The sequence below is a fragment of the Homo sapiens genome, chromosome 6, assembly GCF_000001405.40.
Source record: "Homo sapiens chromosome 6, GRCh38.p14 Primary Assembly".
Lineage (NCBI taxonomy): Eukaryota > Metazoa > Chordata > Mammalia > Primates > Hominidae > Homo > Homo sapiens.
The window spans coordinates 162,035,972-162,057,751 of NC_000006.12; the positions used below are offsets into that span (position 1 = coordinate 162,035,972).

General features: G+C 41.3%; 1 protein-coding gene across 6 annotated transcripts in view; it reads right to left on the bottom strand.

Moving 5' to 3' along the window:
• Positions 1-21,780, bottom strand: part of PRKN (parkin RBR E3 ubiquitin protein ligase) — a 1,380,350-nt gene that overhangs the window by 688,555 nt on the left and 670,015 nt on the right. For 4 of the 6 annotated variants that reach the window (XM_024446449.2, XM_011535863.2, NM_004562.3 and 1 more), the window contains one exon: positions 18,120-18,203. The exons of the other annotated variants lie outside the window; for them this stretch is intronic. In XM_024446449.2, the coding sequence (XP_024302217.1) occupies positions 18,120-18,203 (84 nt within the window). The remainder of the gene's footprint in view (positions 1-18,119; positions 18,204-21,780) is intronic. 6 annotated transcript variants of the gene reach the window in all.

Sequence of the window (21,780 nt, forward strand, 5' to 3'; positions counted from 1 at the left end):
ATATCTCCAAGTGTAGAGAAGATCCTCCTAATAATGATAACAAAGACATAACGCCATAAAGAAAACAATACGGCCGGGCGCGGTGGCTCACGCCTGTAATCCCAGCACTTTGGGAGGCCGAGGCGGGCGGATCACGAGGTCAGGAGATAGAGACGATCCTGGCTAACACAGTGAAACCCCGTCTCTACTAAATATACAAAAAATTAGCCGGGCGTGGTGGCGGGCGCCTGTAGTCCCAGCTACTCGGGAGGCTGCGGCAGGAGAATGGCGTGAACCCGGGAGGCGGAGCTTGCAGTGAGCCGAGATCACGCCACTGCACTCCAGCCTGGGCAACAGAGCGAGACCCCGTCTCAAAACAAAACAAAACAAAATAAAGAAAGAAAACAATAATTACATCAAAATTATAGTTTAAATAATTTTGTTTTGAGATAGAGTTTCACTCTTGTTGCCCAGGGTGGAGTGCAACGGCAGGATCTCGGCTCACTGCAACCTCTGCCTCCCAGGTTCAAGCGATTCTCCTGCCTCACCCTCCCGAGTAGCTGGGATTACAGGCACCTGCCACCACGCTCGGCTAATTTTTTGTATTTTTAGTAGAGACAGGGTTTCACCATGTTGGCCTGACTTCTCTGGAGCTTCTGACCTCCAGTGATCCCCCTGCCTGGGCCTCCCAAAGTGCTGGGATTACAGGCGTGAGCCACCACGCCTGGCCATCTGAAATAATTTTGAAACGCCTTAAAAAGACCTGAAAATTAAATTACTTACTGGTAAACATATTTTCAACATGTATGACAAGAAATGGTTTCATACAAGAATATATGAAATGGTCATAAGAAACAAACTATAAGAAATAATTTCTTATACTTACTGTAAGAAACTTTTATCTATACCGTGCAATTATAATAAAAGAAAATAACCATAATAGTAAGCAATAAATAATGAAAATGTATTCAAGCTTCCTAGTAATTGGAGAAAGGCAATTTTACATGAGATGTCATGTTTCACCTAAATAATTGGAAAAATTAAAAAGAATAAAAGCACCCAGTGTTAGAGGATGCAAAGTAACCATACTGACATGTAGTTTGGGGGAAAGTGGAAATTGATGGAAACTTTCCAGGGTACCTTTTGGAACTAAGGACTCTAACACATTACATGTAAAATATTTTGCCCTTTGCAACTCTACTCCCAAAATTATATTTCAAAAATGTGACTAGACAAATTACTAGAGATGTGTCTAAGGAAGATCACTAATGTGCTGTTTTTATAATGAAATGTAGAGCAGCCTATAAACTTATCAATGCAAGACTCTTCAACAAAATAAATGGGATGCATCACCAAATGTGCTCATAGAGACCTGTATCTCTTGATATGGATAATGAGCACATTATATGAAGTAAAAGATGCAAGTTATAAAATAATACGTGAGACACAAAAACAGGTGTATGTGTATGTGTCCGTGTGTTTTCATGTGTACACACACACACACGCACATGGAAAACAGACTTGGAAGAATATGCACCCAGTGTTAATAGTGATTATCTCCAGGCGGTTTGATTCAAGAGGTTTTACCCTCTGCTTTTTTTTTTTTTTTGGTTTTGAGACGGAGTCTTGCTCTGTCACCAGGCTGGAGTGCAGTGGCGTGATCTCGGCTCACTGCAACCCCTGCCTCCTGGGTTCAAGCAATTCTCCTGCCTCAGCCTCCTGAGTAGCTGGGACTACAGGCACACGCCACCACACCCAGCTAGCTTTTGTATTTTTAGTAGAGACAGGGTTTCACCATGTTGGCCAGGATGGTCTCAATCTCTTGACCTCGTGATCCACCCGCCTCAGCCTCCCAAAGTGCTGGGATTACAGGCATGAGCCACTACATCCGGCCTTACCCTCCTCTTTAGGTGAAAGTACGTTGGCTAATTTTTTTTTCAGCCAACATTATGTTTTTATAATCAGAAAATGCAACATTTATTATGAAAATAATTCAATGAAAATGAGGTATAATAGTTTTAAATTACACATCTAGTATGACATTTAAAAATGTGTGGTATTCTGGTAATAATCATACTGGCACACAGTTCTGAAAAAAAAAATAGAAACCAATAATAAAACTTTTCCTAAGCCATTATGACCATGTTATTTTTTCCTCCAGATCAACTGGTATAGATTATTATCTATGTCATAATAATCTGTTATATAAAATGCAAATTAAGTACATTTTTATTTAAGAAAATTACAAATGTTACAGTTTGGTACAAAGTTATTGTCAGAGCCACTTAATTTGAATACATGTTATTTGTAGAAACGGCAATTGACTGTGTAGGAATTATGGCAAATTGATTGTAGTCTTTGTGGAAAAGGCTGGAGAATGCCACCTTCTGAAATCAAACCTAGTAAAAGTCAACACATTATAACAACTATGGTCATAATAACTACAATTTATTGATCCCTTACAATGACAGGCTCTGAAGTAAGCACTTTATACCCTTTATCAGATAATGCTTAAAACAGCTGTGTATAATAGTCACCTATACATCTGTATCAAAATATGGAAGCTCCTAGGGTTGCAAAGGTTTCATCTGGGGCCACCAGCCTGTAAGTATCATAACAAAAGTTCAAATCAAGTTTCTCTACTGTCTGAGCTATTGTCTACTAGGCTACATACTAAGCTTCGTCTCTTTTAGAGGAAAACTACAGAAAAATAAACCATCAGATAAAATCATTTGTAAATATGTCACTGATGTTGACTTGAAAAATATGTACTTAGAAACCTAAGAGACCAGGGTATAACCTCAGGTAGACATGATAGGATCACATTTGATAGATATATAACTTCATTTCAATGCCTTGGGCATGACCAAGTTGTGCAATTAGTAACCAGCAAGAGGTGGAGTTGACTTGAAAGTCCTTGCTGGCCGGGCGCGGTGGTTCACGCCTGTAATCCCAACACTTTGGGAGGCTGAGGCGGGTGGATCATGAGGTCAGGAGATCGAGACCATCCTGGCTAACAGTGTGAAACCCCGTCTCTACTAAAAAAATACAAAAAATGAGCCAGGCGTGGTGGCGGACGCCTGTAGTCCCAGCGACTCTGGAGGCTGAGGCAGGAGAATGGCGTGAACCCAGGAGGCGCAGCTTGCAGTGAGCAGAGATCGCGCCACTGCACTCCAGCCTGGGCGACAGAGCGAGACTCCATCTCACAAAAAAAAAAAAAAGTGCTTGCTACTGTTTGTCTGACACCATTCAATGCAAAGATATACTTTAAATATAGAAATAATTCTAGCCCTGCCTGAATGAACTCTCTTTCAAGATCACATAACTCTACTTCGGATGCTTTGATCATTGCTATGGTTTGGATATGGTTCATTCGGCCCCACCAAGTCTTCTGTTGAATTAGATCCCCATTGTTGGAGGTGGGGTCTGGTGGGACGTGTTTGGATCCTGAGGGCAGCTCCCTCATGAATGGCTTAGTGCCATTCTCAAGGGAGTGAATGACTTCTCATTGTTGGTTCTCCTGAGAACTGGTTGTTGAAAGGAGCCTGGCACCTCCTTCTCTCTCTCTTGTTTCCCCTTTCCCCATGGGACCTCTGCCCAGAAGACTCCTCTTCACCTTCCACCATGAGTGGCAGCGGCCTCAGGCCCTCCCCCAGAAGCAGATGCCAGCGCCATGCTTCTTGTACTGCCTGCAGGACTGTGAACTAGATAAGCCTCTTTTCCTTATAAAGTAAGTACTCAACCTTAGGTATTCCTTTATAGCAACACAGACTAAACAATTATCATTGTCTGTTGCTAATTTGAGCCCCCTTTCAATAAAACTATGACGTACACACACATATGCACACAAACAGACAGACAGACAGATGTATATATCAAAGTGTGTATAGTCTTCTGTATAACAGCATGATCACAGAGAACACTGTGGAAGGTATGCCCGTCATCTACTGCTATTCAACAAACCACCCCAAATGTTAGTGGATTAAATATTTTTTAGTTCTTAAAAATTAATTTTACTGGTAAATTTAAACAGGATTAAATTAAAGCAGCATTTGGTGGGCACTGCTTGCCTCTGCTCTGCTTGACAACAGCTGAGGAGGTTTAAAAGCTGGGAGGTGGAATTGTCTGAAAGCTCACTTGTTCTCAAACACGATGGTTGTCGATGCAAAGACTCAAACTGCTGGGAGCTGGTACACCTGGGTTCCTTAGCCATCTCTCTCCATTTCCATGTGCCTTTCCCTCTGGTCTCTCCAGCACAGAAGCGGTAGGAAACCTGGGCATTTACAATGTTGTTTGGGGGCTGCTAGTGTACAGGTCAACAAAAGAGGAAGTTAGATGCTACTTTGCCTTTTATGATTTAGCTTCAGAAGTAACAGCATAAGTTCTACTGTTTTCTGTTCTTAGAAACAAGTCACTAAGTCTGACCTAGGTCTGTGGGGAGGGAAATTAGAACCACTTTTTTTTTTTTTTTTGAAATGGAGTTTCTTTCTTGTTGTCCAGGCTGGAGTGCAATGGCACGGTCTTGGCTCACTGCCACCTCTGCCTCTCAGGTTCAAGCGATTCTTGTGCCTCAGACTCCCAAGTAACTGGGATATACAGGCGCCCACCACCATGCCCGGCTATTTTTTTTTTTTTTTTTTTGTATTTTTTTGTAGAGACGGGGTTTCACCATGTTGGCCAGGCTGGTCTTGAACTCCTGACCTCAGGTGCCACCCACCTCGGCCTCTCAAAGTGCTGGGATTACAGGGGTGAGCCACCATGCCTGGCCTAGAACCACATTTTTGATGTATTTATGAACCTGCAGACATATTTTTAAAGAACCACGCAAGGATGAATAGCTTGGTAACATTGAGGGAGGTCAAGTTAGTGGGGAGCTGCCCAAGGAGAACAGTAGTGAGGAAGAAAAACAACAAGAATCAGACAGGGACAGAGTGGAGGGCAGGAGGGAAAGTCATGCAGCTGAGAGGGAAGATATGAATACCATGGAACGTTGGGAAGCCGAGGTGGGTAGATCACCTGAGGTCAGGAGTTCAAGACCAGCCTGGCCAACATGGTGAAATCCCATCTCTACTAAAAATACAAAAATTAACCCAGCATGATGGTATGCGCCTGTAGTCCCAGCTACTCGGGAGGCTGAGGCAGGAGAATCACTTGAACCTAGGAGGCAGGGGTTGCGACCAGCTGAGATCGCACCACTGCCCTCCAGCCTAGGTGACAGAGTGAGACTCTGTCTCAAAAAAATAAAAAATAAAAATGAATACCATGGAATTGGAGCTGTTCCCAGAGTATAAACCAATAAATGAACATCATGGTTCATAGTCTACTGTGTATTAGATAGCTCATGAGTTCGTCTCTTTAAGAACTGAGTTGCTAAAATTTAGTTCCTGAACCTGTAAACATTTGGACTCATGGCAATTCTTACCACTTGGTGGCCATTCTCTTCAACATGTCTTTAGCCACAAAGCACTATTTGATGGAGAGAGTAAAGACATTCCATTTCTTCAGCTCCTCTTAAAGCTCCAAATGCCTCCAGGCCCCACCCATTCCCCCACCTCTCTCTCTTTCTAAACAGAGATTGGTTCTCACCATTTCAAAGGGTTTAGGTTGTTACTGTGGTTTAGTTTAGCTTTGCTTTGTTTTTTGAGGTCCACCTGTCGTATCTGTGACAGAATTTGCAGGAGGTACTCCAGTTGTGATCACTGGGAAGAAAATGCGGTGAAATCAGACTAACCCATAGTTCTCAGTATATCATTGCATGGCTTCTAAGGAACCACAATTTAAACAGTGCATGATAACCAGTATTAATGGATTATAGCCCCTAAATTGTAACAATTGTGACTTTGTAGACTCCTAAGTATCTTCTGGTTTGGGTAACCTTTCTATTATTTGCTTTCTTGGGATCTGTCAGTTACAGTGTGCATTTAGTCCCGTACGTGTGGCTGACATATCCTATCCTAGAGTGGCCACTTGTTTAGAACAGTTCTATTGATCCTGCATGTTCCCTAGGAGGAAACACAAGGCCTTGCTGAGAAGGCTCTCAAGCTTCACTCCCATGCAGTATAGTTTACATTTCTAGTTTTGTGATTTAGTTCTCATGGAGCCATAGGCCATAATTACTCAGCTGTAATGAACCTCACAATGCATCAATGCATTCTTCTCCATTTATATTTGCTTTTATTTGAATGAAATAAATTCATTCAAATAAAAGCAAATATAAATGGAGAATACATTCACAAGATGTTCACAAGAATTATAATAACATAAATGAAACAAACATTTATTTTATTGAAATAAAAGCAAACATAAATGGAGAAAAATGCACTGACTATGGTTCATGACTGAACCATAGTCCTTATTTATGAGACACAGTCTTGCTCTGTTACCCAGGCTGGAGTGCAGTGGCCAATCTCAGCCCACTGCAAACTCCACCTCCGGGGCTAAAGCAATCCTCCCACCTCAGCCTCCCAAATAGCTGAGATTACAGGCATGTACCCAGCTAATTTTTTTTTTTTATTTTTCATAGAGATGGGGTCTCATAATGTTGCCTAGGCTGGTCTCAAACTCCTGGGCTCAAACAATACTACTGCCTTGGCCTCCCAAAATGGTGGGGTTATAGGCATGGTCCACTGTGCCTGGCTGAACCATAGCCCTTTTAAGCATTGAATGCATTTAAAATATTTTCATTGTTCTATCAATAAAATATCCACATTTAAATGCAGGCCTTATAATAATTAATACTACTCACTATTAAATACCAAATTAGAATTGATTCTCTAAAGTGTCTTCATATATTGTACATTGTGCTAGGTAATATGAGTTTTAATTGCTTAATATAAAATTACTTAATGGCACTTATAATTCTTGTGAACATCAGTATAAGTTTTAATAAAATGGTAGAAGCACATGGAGAAATGGTTCTTTGATTGTTAAAATAGTTCATTTTTATAAGGCAGGTAAGAAATTAGTAAGTTAGATAACTACATTAGTCCATTTGCATGCTGCTGAAAAAGACATACCCAAAAACAGGAAGAAAAAGAGGCTTCATTGGACTTACAGTTCCACATGACTGGGGAGGCCTCATAATCATGGCGGGAGGTGAAAAGCACTTCTTACATGGCAGTGGCAAGAGAAAAATGAGGAAGAAGCAAAAGCAGAAACCCCTGATAAACCCATCAGATCTCGTGAGACTTATTCACTGTCATGAGAATAGCATGGGAAAGACCAGCCAACATGATTCAATGACCTCCTTCTGGGTCCCTCCAGCAACACATGGGAATTTTGGGAGACACAATTCAAGCTGAGATTTGGGTGGGGATATAGCCAAACCATATCAATAACCCTGAGGAAAAAATCACAATGCTGGGATCCAGAAAAATATAGATGTTTTTGAATAAGGTTTTTGAATAAGAAAAATCTCCATATATACACAGTTAGATAAACCCAACAGAACATCCTTCAGTTTTGAAAGCCAAGGAAGCTTCATTGAATCCTGTGTCTGCATAAATGATCAGTGAAATTTCAAAATTCACTGATGTGCAGTCTTGCTTCACAAATGGACAAATGGAGATGAACAGAGGCCAATGGCCATGGACATAGAAGGAGAAGGAGTTACAGACAGAATCCCAAACTCTCAATCCAGTTTCTCAAACTGTCCAGCATGTAGTTGCTATTGACTCAATTGTCCTTTGGAAAGGATGAAGTCTCAGATAGTCTCAAAGTTCACTTTACATAGTAACCCATTTTGTCTCCCCTCTAATATTTTGAAAAGGTAACGGCAACAGAAAAGGGTCCTCAGTTTTCTAGGAAGATTGACAAGAAGGAAGCAGCAGGAAGAGAAAGGCAGGAAAATCTTCATACTGGATCATCCATTTCTAGCGATTATAGATAACAGAGTTGCTGATAAAGATAGAATTTCAGTCAACCACTAAGCAGATTCCCACTGAGGAACACCCTGGAGAAACACGAACAGTCAAGACAGAAGACCACCAGATGGCTGATCTTAATAACCCAATAAATACAAGAAAAGAGTGGCACTTCTACCCAGTTCTAAACGAACATCTCATTTGTATGTTGTGTTCTGAGTTTTAGGGAAGACAAAAATGCCAATTCTAATTTACCTTTATTCACACTTTGCCAGGGATTCAAGGAAGGCAGAAAAAATTGTACAAAATAATCTTTTGTTTTTGTTCCCTTCAAGATTCTCTTTTACTCTTTTTGTTCCTTATGCCATCACTCCACCACAACCATACTACAGACTTCGCAACTGCTGTCTCAGCCTTTGAAACACCTAAACTTCAACATGCTGAGATTACGCCTATTACGCTAATGAACTTCTACAGGAACGAACAAACGAAAAGGAAGTAATGCACCACCTCCTGTTTCTCAGCCATCACCACCTCCCAGGTGCTTCCCAGAGCAGTTCCCTGCTGCCACGGGGCTCCTGCAGGAGCTCCTCCCTGCTAGGCATGTCCTCAACCCCTAGTCATCAAGTCTAGCTCAGCCTCTGCATTTCAGCTCAACGTCTAATTTCCCAGCGTAGATTCCAGGCAGCCGCCCTGTTTCATGTCCTCTTAACATCCTCTGCTTTTCTATCTCATCTTCCTTCTTGACAAGTTCAAAGTCATGAGGACTGGATAGAGCTCCATCAAAGCAGGGAATGTTGATTTTATACACTGGAGCTGAGTGGGCAGTCTGGCACAGAGCAAGTGGCCAGTAGGATTACGGAATGCATGAACCTTAATTTTCTATTCCTTTATTCCTGTCATTTCCTGTACCTCACAAAATGTTCCCAACCATGCCAACATCACCACCTGTGAAAATCCCACCACTCTTCCCTTGGGCCTCACCTCCATGAAGTCCTCTTTGATCACCTTTGTGTTTTCTGAACTCCATAAGCACTTTCTATGCGTGTTTCACATCACTCATGATATACTAACTTGTGTTATTTCCTCTGCCCTATTCACAGAGGGAAGTCCTTGCATGGTCCTTCACATCCAATCTTATTAGCATTTAGGTCATGGCATAAAAATCATCGTTTGCCTACACGTCTCACTCCATCCCCAATTTTTCCCAAACTATGAAAGCAGTGAATTCAATACTCGTTTTTCTATCTTAGTGCTTGGCACAGAAGAGATGCTTGGTAAGCTTTTTACTTGCTCTGCGGAATCTGAATTGCAGCCATTTTTGTGAAGTCTTCTCTACTCGGCTAGATTCCTACATCCTGAAAGTCAGTCTTTGTTTTCTGCATAGTGACTAGCACAACAAATCAATGTGTTATAAAAGTTATCTACATTTCTTTCAATGGAAAGATGCAAATTTTAAAAACGATCTTTTGCTTTTCCACTCTTGAAACATAAACATTTTCTCTGTACCTTGTAAATAATACTTGCGTAAGATGATCACCACTGAAGTTATTTTCCCAAACCCTGAGTATTAAGGGGAATGATGACTGCCTACTTGAGGAAGCTCAGATGATCCGAAGATCCCAAACTATGTTCCTTTCTCCAAGAAACATTAGTGGAAGGGAGTGTTTCACCACATGTGGGTCAACAGTACGTGACATCGTCTCAGTTGTGATTTGATTCTCCATATGCTTATAATTTCCATTCTAAATCTCAAGTTTGGTAAACTGGCTTTAAGGGATTTTTGCCACATATATCTTAAAAACTAAATTTTACTGTGGCTCTTGATAACTTTTTGAGAGCTAGCTTGACCTGAGTAAGACAGATGATAGCTCCTTAATGACCGCCATCAAGGCATGATGAAGTGCGGGTCCCTGGGAGCCATCAATCACCTGCTGGAAGGACTAGGAGGGCTGTTTCCCGGCCGAGAAGCAGGCCTCAATCTCTTGGCCCATTACTCTCACGTCTTCCTTCTATTCTTCTCACTCCATTAGGCTCCTGTGTATCTGCACTGAGGCTATCTCAGAGTGACCTCCCATCTCTAATCCTTGATATTTCCATTTGGGTCTAATGTACCATCTCGATTGAAACATTTGGGAAAGCTTACAGCGGTATTTAATCTTTCTTTGCTCTAGTTCTCAGAATCTCATTTATAAATCTATTTGAAATTATCTTTTTTGTATCTATTACTATCTTTTCCAGTAGATCGATATGTACTCTCTCCTAATCTAAAACCTAGTGGTCTAGAAGCACACCTCTTTCTGAGTAATTGTGATAAAGTGCTTTGTTGTTTCTTTGTTTTCAGGGCCTTTGTCTAAACCTGCAATGCAACCATCAACACAGCCTCGGACTGACACGTTTGGCTTTTGAATCATTCTATGGAAAGGCAAAAAACGAAGTAAGACTTTTGAAGCCTCTGGGGTTTATAAACCGGTATAAAATTCCTCATATTTGAATATGTTGTAGTAATATGCATGATTTTGTTCTACTGCACATAAAGTGCGATACAAACTATAGAACAGAAGATCGCAGATCATCAAGTGTAAAAAACAGCTGACATTCACCTTGACTAGGAGTTTCCTAGAACAGGGAAGCAAGAAGTATGTATTTTGGAAGCTGCATATTGCTGGAAAGATGGCGTCATAGACTAAACCAAGGTCATGTTCTGTGATAGCAGTGTGAACACTGTTATTTCACACGTGCAGATTCTCTGCTACAGCCGCACTGGTTCTGGCACCTGGTTTTCTTCCTCTGGAGATTATTTTTTCATGTAGCAGTTTACAAGGAATCTTTAACACTACCATGAAGAAGATGGCTGTTAATTCAATTTTCCACCAGGTTATAAAAGAGCCCTGATGAAAAAGAAGTTATGTCATGGTTATCTCACAGAAAAAGGAGAATTAAATTAAGCTTAGGGTTCATACCATCATTGACACTTTTTTCCATGGGAAACTAATGCGTTTTCATATACAAACGAAATTTTGATTCAAATTTGCAAAATTTAAGCTAATTCTGTAATAAAAATCTATCTTCTAATTTTAACCTTAACAATTAAAAAAAAAAACAAGAAATTTTTTGTTATCAAGTATTCAAAACTTGGTTTAGAAATAAGCTGTCCTTGAGTCTGAATGCTGGATTGGGTTTTTGAAAAATGTTCTAAGAAAACTTTCTAGTTTGTCACCCCAAATTGCATGTCAGACAACAGAGAACACTTTGTCACGCTTAGACACCATTCAATCATAATCTGAGTTTGACTTCAAAGTTTTCACAATTCAATTTTGTTTAGAATTAAGAAAACATGACTGTGGGGACCAACGTAAGGGCAGGCAGAGCATTTCTCTTCAGCCAAACACCAGGGCAGAAGGAAAAGGGGAGTGAATGAGTCCATTTGTCCTTTACCTCTGTTTTCATTTTCCACTCTCTACATTTAAGTGTCCAGCTGCTCTTTGACCACAGTGGGACCCCTCAAAGCCACAAAGGCTGGAATTGCTTAAATATATATTTGGAGATGCTTGTGCTGATAGTTATTGTACAGTGCAGACGAGCATGGGCAACACAAGAATATGGAGCCCACGGCTCTCATGCTGTGCAAATGAAGACCGTCATTTGTGACTATCTCAGGGACACTTTTCAATCCAAGAGCATTTCTTAAAAACAAAAGCAAACCAACCTTTTATTGTTATTAGACACCAGAAAAAAAAAAACCCAAAACATACAGTTCACACATGAAACCATCCTGAGAAATTCTGAGTCTCATTTTCTGTGATTCTAATGAAGTCTAAAACAACAATAAAAACAGACAAAAGAAATACAGATTCCTTGGAGGATAGTAATTTGATCAAACTAAAACATTATTAAGAAACTTTTTGGACATAAAATACGGAAATGACTTCTGACATAAATCACAATTGCTCAGTATTAGGAGACTTATTTGCTATTAATTTTGTTTCAGTCAACATCTCTCAACAACATGAAATCAGAGGTGCAGACCATGAATATTAACTTTCATTCAAACTAACGTTCCAGTTGGCATATACTGAGCCTAAGAGGGGGAAAGTGTGAAAAATAGATTGCATGTTGAGTAAGATGAAAACACTCTATTTATTATACTGAGTTTAATAGTTACATTATTTATTATAGTTCAGGGGATAGTTTTAAGTATCTAATTTCATTTGAAATAAATCTTGGAGTTATTGTAAGAGGTGTTACGCTACTTGTTCTGATAAGAAAAAAAATGTTTGATGTATAAGAGTTGAACTCCAGTCAAAATCAAATAATCTAAAAAAGAAAATGTTATTTTACATAACACTTCAGGTAAATTCTGCCTCTCAAAAATAGATGATATATAAAAAATATTATAGCTTGTGTAATAGGAAATCAACACCCCTCAATAAGAATTTCTTTAAAATGACCTTGGTCATTTATTACTTTAAAGAGATCACTTAAATTTTCTTTCTTTTTTATTTGAGTAAATACCCCCATCCTAAACCCTACTGTGTGACTGTCAGGTGTGAGGGAACAGGCAAGGTTCTTGCAGTTGGCTAAGGGGCACCTCATTACCAGAAAAGCACCACTGAAACCACAGGTCTCGGAGGGGAGCGTTGGATGACAGTGGACCTCAGTGTTACGAGTTAGGATTCGGAACTCAGAAATAATGCTCAGGCACTAGGACTTCAGGGTTTTCCTTAGCCTATGTGTGCCCAAGTAAGAGAAACACACATCCCCCAGTACACATACAAACACAAATTATTGTTTTAAGTTTTTAAGGCCAGTGTGTCCAATCTTTTGGCTTCCCTGGGCCACATAGGAAGAAGAATAATTGTCTTGGGCCACACATATAATACACTAGCACCAAAAATAGCTGATGAACTAAAAAAAAAAAAAAAATCTCATAAGAGAGTTTACAAATTTGTGTTGGGCCACATTCAAAGCTATCCTGGGCTGCATACGGTGCCGTGGGTTGAACAAGCTTGGTTTAAGGTATCATAGGTAAATTATAAAATGAAGATCGACACAGAATAACTAAAGTCTTATGCCATATCCAAAGTTGAGTTAATTTCACTAACGGAGAAAATCCTAATTGATTTCATCCCCTTTTTAATCTCAAGCATATATCCTTTGAGCTGACCGGAATTCTTTTTATAAAAAGGTAAGAACTAATAGTATGCTCCCTCCTAAAATAACAGCGATTAGCATAAAGCTGAATTAGGTTCAGGTTTCTCTGTCTAAAGGAGAGTTAGGGTCAAGTTTGTATTTGTACTCTTAAAAACCAAGGGTAAACTTTACTGCTATTTAAAACTATCTACTAAGATTATCTTTAAGGGTATAAATATTAATTAATTAAGAATATATTAGGAACACTGCTATTTTAAGTTCTAAGTACATGGATATTTTGTCTAAGTGATAGAAATTCAAAATTTTAATAAACTTAAAATATATAAAATAAATTATATATAGGGTCCAAAATACTGTCAAAACCTTGACTTTAGAAAATACAGGAGTCAGAGTTTATATTTAGCTGCATTGTGAAAATGCAATCCAGAAAAATGGTTTTAAGAGAGAGTGAAAGAGTTGAGCTCACACTGAACACTTAACTTGAGCTAGCTATTGTCATGGTTAGTGCTCAAACCTTCAGTCCCTTCACTTAACAGGCATTTAGTTGGTGTTTATTAAATACAGAAGAAAAAATATAGTTGGATATGATGCTTCCTTTTCCTACCTTGATAAGAATATCTTTGGGTATTTATGATCCTTAATTCCCTGTTCAAATACAAATTTAGCTACACTCCAAATATCTGCTATGTGGTACCCTTTCATTGTTGTTTGTTCCCTTATTTCCATTTAGATCTTAACATTGACTCAGTGATTTGAATGTCCACGTGTAACAGATTTTTAGAGTTATATTTTTGCTATTGATAGTTAAATTTCTTAATGTCCTAAAACACGACCAGTTGTTGATATCCTCCAGTTGCCGAGTGACTCTCTCCTGATGTCGTGGGCTCACTGGTGGTACGAATCGGACGCGTCCTTCCTAAGCTTGTACTGCAGGAGCCCTCAACTCCACAGAGAGCTGTGTTACTCTCTCTCCCACCATGGTGTTAAATTTATCCACATATTTTGTTAATTCTGACAATGTTTCCTTAGTACATTTTGAATCCGTGTTACTAAGATCATACCATTTTAAACTGCTTTATCTTCCTGCGTTACTAAACCTTTCTAATCCTCAAAACCTCAAAAGTCTCCTTTTCCTGGGATGCTGAACATATTTTTCCTCAAAACCTCGCATGTCTCCTTTTTTAGTAATGTTTCCACCCTCTCCTGAAAATCTATTTTATGTGCAATTAAAATGGTATCAACAGCATTCTTGAGTTAATACTTGCCTGGATTATTACTTTCCATTCTTTTACTTTCGATGTTTTTCTGCTCACATGTTTTAGGTATGTCTTTTGTAACCTGCATAAAGCCAGATTCTGTTCCTTTAACCCAGTCTAAGAGTCATTGTCTTTCACATTTCAGTTAGTGCATTTCCATTTCTTTTCATTTCTGTTACATGAGGTTTTACTTGTGCCATTTTTGTGTGCACTACTTAAGTTGTCCCATTTTCCTATATTTCACCCCCTCTCTTTTTTTTTCATCTCTCAATTTGGCATTTTGTATTTCAGTTCTATCCCTTGAATGGTTATACTAGACAATGTAGGTTCACCTCTAACTTTGAGGGTTTAATGTTGACAATGACTAGACTGACCAAGTGACTGGTCCAGGAATTGCTTCCCAGGAGGTCCCAAGCCTGAGGTTCCAATAAGGGCGGGGAAGATAATGACCTTGGCACAGGGACCATGACCTTTGAGGACATGACTGGCTGTCTCTCCTGGAGAAGGGGCTTCCTACCAGGCCCAGAGGAGCGTGGTCCATGCGGAGCACTGAAGACCTTTGAACTCGAGCCCTCGCTGGGACTTGAGGCCACTCCCACCTCCCCCCAATCACCGTGGCCACACAGCTGGAGTTGATGAGAAGCCAGGGTACTGAACAGCAAGGACTCGAATCCAGCCAAGACAGGGAGGCCCAGCTCTGAACCTATAAACACATGGTGTTCGGAAAGGCCTGGAGAAGCAGCAGCCATTATTTACTGCCAGAAAATTCACGAGGCAAGTCCCATATGTGTTAGGAGTGTGAGGAACCACACACGTCCTACAAGTGCTGCAATGACAAGAAAGCATCCAAAATTCCCCCCATTTGGCACCAGGATCTCCTATGCAAAGAAAGGTCTTTTCAGTGCAGGGAAGATGAGGAAACCTGGAGCCAAAGCTGTCGCCTCCTTCAGAATTCCAAAGTCCACACTGCAGAAGGGATTTGTTGGGGAAGCCAGGCTGAGAAAGTTCCCACTCACTCAGCACGGAGAATTCACACCCAGGAGAGGCCGTCTATGCGAGATTCTTCAGCCACGCTCAGGCCTTAAGCATCCCGAATGCTCACACTGGAGAGATGCCCGGTGAGTGTAATGTGTGAAGAAGCTTCATTTGTCACCCGGAACTTCACAGGCTAACGGGCCTCATGAGCAAAGCCAGCGTGGGGGACTTTCCGCCGCAGGTACACCCTCGGGAGTGCACATCAGAGATGGTCTTAGGGCTGCTGTGCACGCGCCTCCGCATCCTCGTTCAGGAACAATGTGTTCCTGCCTGAGAGGCGAGCAGGAGCGTGGCCTTTGTGAGAAAGGCTTCGGTCATGATGCAACCCCATGTCCAGAGCACCCATGCCAAGGGCCACAGAGTTGTGAGGCCTTCGGGGGCGATGATGGACTTTCTGACCTTCCCTGGAACCCAGGGTGAGTTGTCACCCCCAGGGCTGATGGGAAGAAGCCTTCCTTCCTCTCCATCCTGGTGGGGCAGCTGCCGCCCCCACATGATCAAAGAACGCAGCCTCTAGTGTCACCCACACTACCCTGGAGCAAATCCAGACTGTCCTGTGCACAGAACTGGCCTAATCTGGACAAGGGGACCCAAGGGGTGTCAGCTGGAAGCTTCTGGGCAAGGCTTCCTTGTCCCATGGATTTTAAAGTCTCTATGTGACAGCTGTGATGGCTTCAAACAGCCTATGAGTCCCCTTATTTGTGGACTGTGGTATCCAAAGTGGGCAGAAGTTGCCCTAGAACAAATCCCCCAAAGATACCAGGAATGACTGTGTTATTAGATGAGATCGGGCACGTTCAGGGTGGTATGGCCGTAGACAGGAATGACTGTATTATCAAACTCTATCCTCCATGTTTTTTAAGTTCTCTTTTATTTTTTAAATCTATTATGTTCTGGCTGCATTTAGGATAATTTTTTTCAGGTCAAATTTCAGATCTAAGTTCTATTTTCTCTTTTTACCTATGTCTTATCTGCTGTTCAGCCCATTTAGTAAACTTTGTGTCAATTATTATAATTTATATATAATTCTAGAATTTCAGGTGTGTGTGTGCTTGTTTAATTTGACTGGATATTTCCAATCGTTTTGTTTTGTTTTTTTAATCTTTTATTTTTTAAACATATTAAGCATCCTTATACTCTATCCTTGATGATTTCAATTTCTATGTTCTTTACTGTTTTGAATTCTGCTCACTCTTATTCACCATGGCTTGTTTCCACATATATGTTGTGATTTTTCTGATTGTTAATTTATGTTCCTTGAAACACTGAGAAAATTATTTCAGGACTCCTTTGAAAGTACAGGGCTCCTAGAGGATTTGGGCTACTCTCAGCCCAGTACCCAGGACTACAACTCATGACTGACTACATTAAACAACATTCTAGACCCAGGACTTTCTGTGCCGCACAGGAAGAGTGAATATTGGCCCCAAACTCAGGTTTGAGTTATAGATATAACTCTAACATTATACACATAATGTTGTATATATGTATACCATATACATACATAGAATGTTGACCCTAAAAACTTGTAAGCATAAACCCATCGGTTTGTACTTACAAGTTTATAGGGGCAAGATTCTATGTATGTATATATGTATAACACATATGTATATATGGAAACATAGATGTATATATAATTATATTATTAGATGCAATTATATCTACATATTATGTATGCTATAATATATACATATTACATTTGTATACATGTAAACGTATGTAATTACACTTAAGAATTCTGCCCTATGAAATACGCACTCTAATTTCATCCTGGTAGGAAACTGGCAAGACTGTGTGATACCTCAAAAATCTGTGAGTGACATACAAGTCATTATCTTTCTTCAGGATTTGGATGAATAAAAATCTGTTCGTAGTCCCTAGCCCTAGGCTGGTGGAGAGTGACTGTTTATTGTTGCCCACTGCCATCCTGGTATCCTTCCGATCAGCCAGCAGATTGGCAAGAGAAAGCTCCTCTCATGATTCTCGCTCAAACGCTGTACCTGTTGCTGTTGACAGACTCTGTTCCTGAGAGAAGGTATTAACTGCCAGCTGGCTCTGACAGTTTGGGAACTAAGGCTGACATTTGTGCTGGCAGCATAACAGTATTTACAACTCAGGAAATGTATACAGTTAGATTACGACGGAGCCAGCGAGTTTTGAGGTTAAAAAAATACAACAATATACATGTGAAGCATGACCATAATAACAAAATTAACTTAAAAATAAATTCAGAGCTTAGGGGTTCTTTCAGGAAATATCTGCGGTCTATGAAACATATGGCATATATGTGCAAAGAGAGAAAGGATTACAAAGAACAGAGGATGGTAATTCAATTACATCGCCGGCCACCCATACTATATTTTGTAATAGTCCACTATGTCAGAAAATTACTAAAGAAAGGTAGAAGTAGATAAAGCAGAAAAAAAAATCAATTTTGAATGATGGGGAATATAAATATAAAATATCACTGGAGCAGGAGAGAAGGTGAATCTCATGCTTCTGTAATTTTTCTTTTGGAGGCTCTGCACTGGCTCTCCTTTTCTCACCTCTCCTTTTCCTTCTATGGATATAACTTTGCAATGAGTTTAAATTGGCACATTTCCACACGGTCCCCCCAAATGATTAAGTCACTAGGAAAGTGACCCTGAAAGGCAGGGGCACAGGTTGGAATTTTGGTGAATGTAATTAACCTATTTAAATATCATAACACTTTTGGCAAACATTATTAGATGGAAGAACAGTCAGTTGACATTTTGTCTCTAATTTCCTGGCAAACAGTGAAGATGTCATCATTTTCTTGCAATAAGAGGAATGAATGTGACCAGGTACTTACTGCACTAGTCCCAGGGCAGTGTGGGGATTGGCATTCACCACTCATCCGGTTTGGAATTAAAACATCATCCCAGCAAGATGGACCCTTTGGGAAAAAACAACAATATATGCTTATATGAGTTATAATAGAAATGTACTCCTTAAGACATGTTTCCACTTATGTTATAAAATAATAGTGAAATTAGTGTGTAGTCCAATGATTTTCAAAGTGTGGTCTGCAGACTCTGGGGGTCCCCGTGACCCTTTCAAGGGATGTGCTAGGTCAAAACTATGTTCATCAACATACAAAGACGATATTTGACATTTTGCTCCAAACCTGTTCGTTTTCCACTTATAGCCTCCCCCTACGGCTGAGGTTAAATGCACCTTACTAGAAAGGCCATCCCTGACTTTGCTCCACTTCTGTGTCTGCCCTTTCAGGCTTCCTTTGCTTCATAATAATTATTACTACCATCCCCACCCAACCCCACCATGCAGTGGCCCAGCACAGAGCAAGGGCTGTCTGTCCCTAGTCACCACAGCTACACAAAAGCCAACTTGGTCTGCTCTGTTCCCTGAGGCATCCCAGCACCTAGAGGAGGGCCTGGCATCGAGGGGGTGCGCAGCAAGCTTCCCTAGGCATCAAAGAAATAAAAATTCAATAAAAGCAACACTTCTTTTAAATTAGAGAAGATCATTTAAAATGAAATATCAGTGTCAATTATTGCATTCCTCTTGGAAAGCAAACCAGTAAAAAGCATCACAAGCATTCAACTGGTTCATAACTTTTTGACTAAATTTTAAGAAATCGGGCTGTGCACGGTGGCTCATTCCTATAATCCCAGCACTTTGGGAGGTTGAAGGGGGCGGATCACCTGAGGTCAGGAGTTCAAGACCAGTCTGACTAACATGGCGAAACCCTGTCTGTACTAAAAATACAAAAATTAGCTGGGTGTGGTGGCACGCGCCTGTAATCACAACTACTCAGGAGGCCAAGGTAGGAGAATCGCTTGAATGCAGGAGGCAGAGGTGGCAGTGAGCCGAGATTGTGCCACTGCACTCCAGTCTGGGTGACATAGCAAGACTCCATCTCAAAAAACAAACAAATAAAGAAACAAAAAATCAAAAGCAAAAGGCAGATAGGGGAGAGGGCACAGGGGATCAGGAGCAGCAAATTTCCAGATCCTCAAATCTTCTAAACAGAAAGTTCAGACCATCTACTTGGAAACAAAAATCAAAATAGAATGTTTAACTTGCAGCAATACCTTCAATTTCAACCTAAAATTCTGTGCCTGACCTAATTATCAATTAAATGGGAGAATGGGAAAAAGTGGCTTGGGGAGATGCAAGTTGGAAAGTTGGCTTGTATGTCTGTGAGGGCTCAGGGTTCAGGAAATGATCAGATGCCTGAGGAAAGCCCCAGGTGGCAGCCTGGACCTCCTCACCGTGGGTGGAGCAGTGAGGTGGCCACGGGAGGGGCGGAGTAAGAGGTGGGTTGTCTCCCCAGCTGTGACACAGAAAGGAGGAGGAGGGAGGGTGGCATCAAGGGCTGGAGGGGATTGACAGAGCTTCCAGGAGACGTGGTATGAGGCCACTGCCCAGTGCAAGGCAGAAGGTTAGGACTCAGGGGCAGAGGCTGTGGTGATTTTACTACCGACGACGTTTGGACCCAGCTAGTGTTTAAGTTGTAGGAGCTAAATCGGTCATCACAAGGCCCATCTCTGCTTCAGGAACCAGTGTAGAGCCGCCCTGGCACTTTGTAGCAGATGCTGAGGAAAATGCCGTGGGAGGTGGGCAGGGGTTCACAGCCACCCCTGCCAGTCTGCAGGAGTGCTCCCTCCCTCCCTCCTTTACCATTACATGTGTGCACACACACATGCATGCCACACACTCACATATACATGCACATACCACACACACTCAGGCATGCACGCACACAGGCATGCACGCACACAGCATGCCACACACCACACATGCATAAACACACCACATACATACACGTGCACACACATCCCACACACCTCACACACCCCACACACATATACCCACATGCATGCACGCACACCAAGACACACCACACACGCACGCACACCAAAACACACCACACATGCATAAACACACCACATATGTACATGTGCACATGTATCCCTCACACCCCACACGCCTAACACACCCCACACACATACATCCAAACACATACATGCACACCAAGACACACCACACATGCATAAACACACCACGCACACACGCACACACACACAATACCACACAGCACACAGGCATACACATACTACATACACTCACACACTCATGCATGCACACACGCACTATTCTAGAGAAAAGTCGGGGACGCAGAGCAGTTCTCCAGGCCTGAGCCGTACCTGAAAGAGACTGAGCCTTTTGACGGAGGCTCTTTACCCCAGACTTCAAAAGGAGCTGCATCTGGGATCCACCGATCATTAATCCAAAGGCCACCGCTTAATATGGAGGTAAATTTGCAGAAGAGTTCTAGCAGGACTGAAGCTGCGATGGTTTGAAAAGCCTGCTTTCAAGCTTGGCCCTTGGCTGGCATCTGGGAATGTGAATTTTGGAAGCGTCCACATCATTCCCTTACTGCTACGGGTGGTGTGCAGAGCCTGAACTGTCTGCACAAACCATGGCTATGCACAACATCTTCTCACCCTCGGCAAGGCTGGAATTTTGATAAGCCCCAGGCAGAGGTGTCTGCATGACCAGTTCCCACTAAAATCGCTGGGCACTGACTCTCCATTGAGCTTCCTGGCAGACAACACTTCACACGCGTTGTCACAACTGAGTGCCTCTCGAGTGACCACTGGGGGAGGACTCAGAGCCTTGCCTGCGGTTTCCTCTAAACTCCTCCCCCTGGGCCTTTTCCCCTCGCTTCATATCCTTTTGTTGTAGTGAATCTTAGCTATGTGTGTGACAGGACAGCAAGTCCTGCAGGCTCTCCTGGTGAATCACTGAATCTGGAGGGGGGAGGTGGTCTTGGGGGCCCAGGACATGACGACATAGGATTGGTGATCAAGGCAATGTTCTCCCAGGCACATAGGAGGGTCGGGGCTCATCATTAATATCACACCAGTCACAAAGAACAAGCCGTTTCATTTTCTTTGCACATCCCACTGTGTTCACGATAATGGAAGCACTTATGTGATTTTCAACTTTAGAGTAACACTGTTAAAACTGAACAGAGGATGTTAATTATGATTATGTAACCAAATATATATGTTATTCAGCTTGGACAATATAAAAGCAAAAACAGAAATGTGAGGACTTGGAAGGCAGAAGTGAGGCTGGAGAGAAAACAGAAAAGTGCTGATGAATTCCCTGACCTGCCAAGCTGTTTTTATTAGAAGGTTGTCTGCACCTTTGATTTTTAAACATGAGCATATATTCACTCGATAAAAGTTACAAATGTATAGAAATAAAAGAGAGGAAAAGAAATGATACCTACGACCTTGATCACGTTCATCAGCCTCATTTTTCTGGCTTAAAGTGAGAAATTCAGTGGAGATAAATGTGGCTAGAATGCAGTCTGCTACAATGAATACACTTTTTAACGTGAGGACCTTTCTTACTCCTATACAAAAACTTTGAACTATAGTTGCTTTAGCCATGCAACTTCTGGAACACTGTGTACGACGATTAGGCAATTTAGGTTT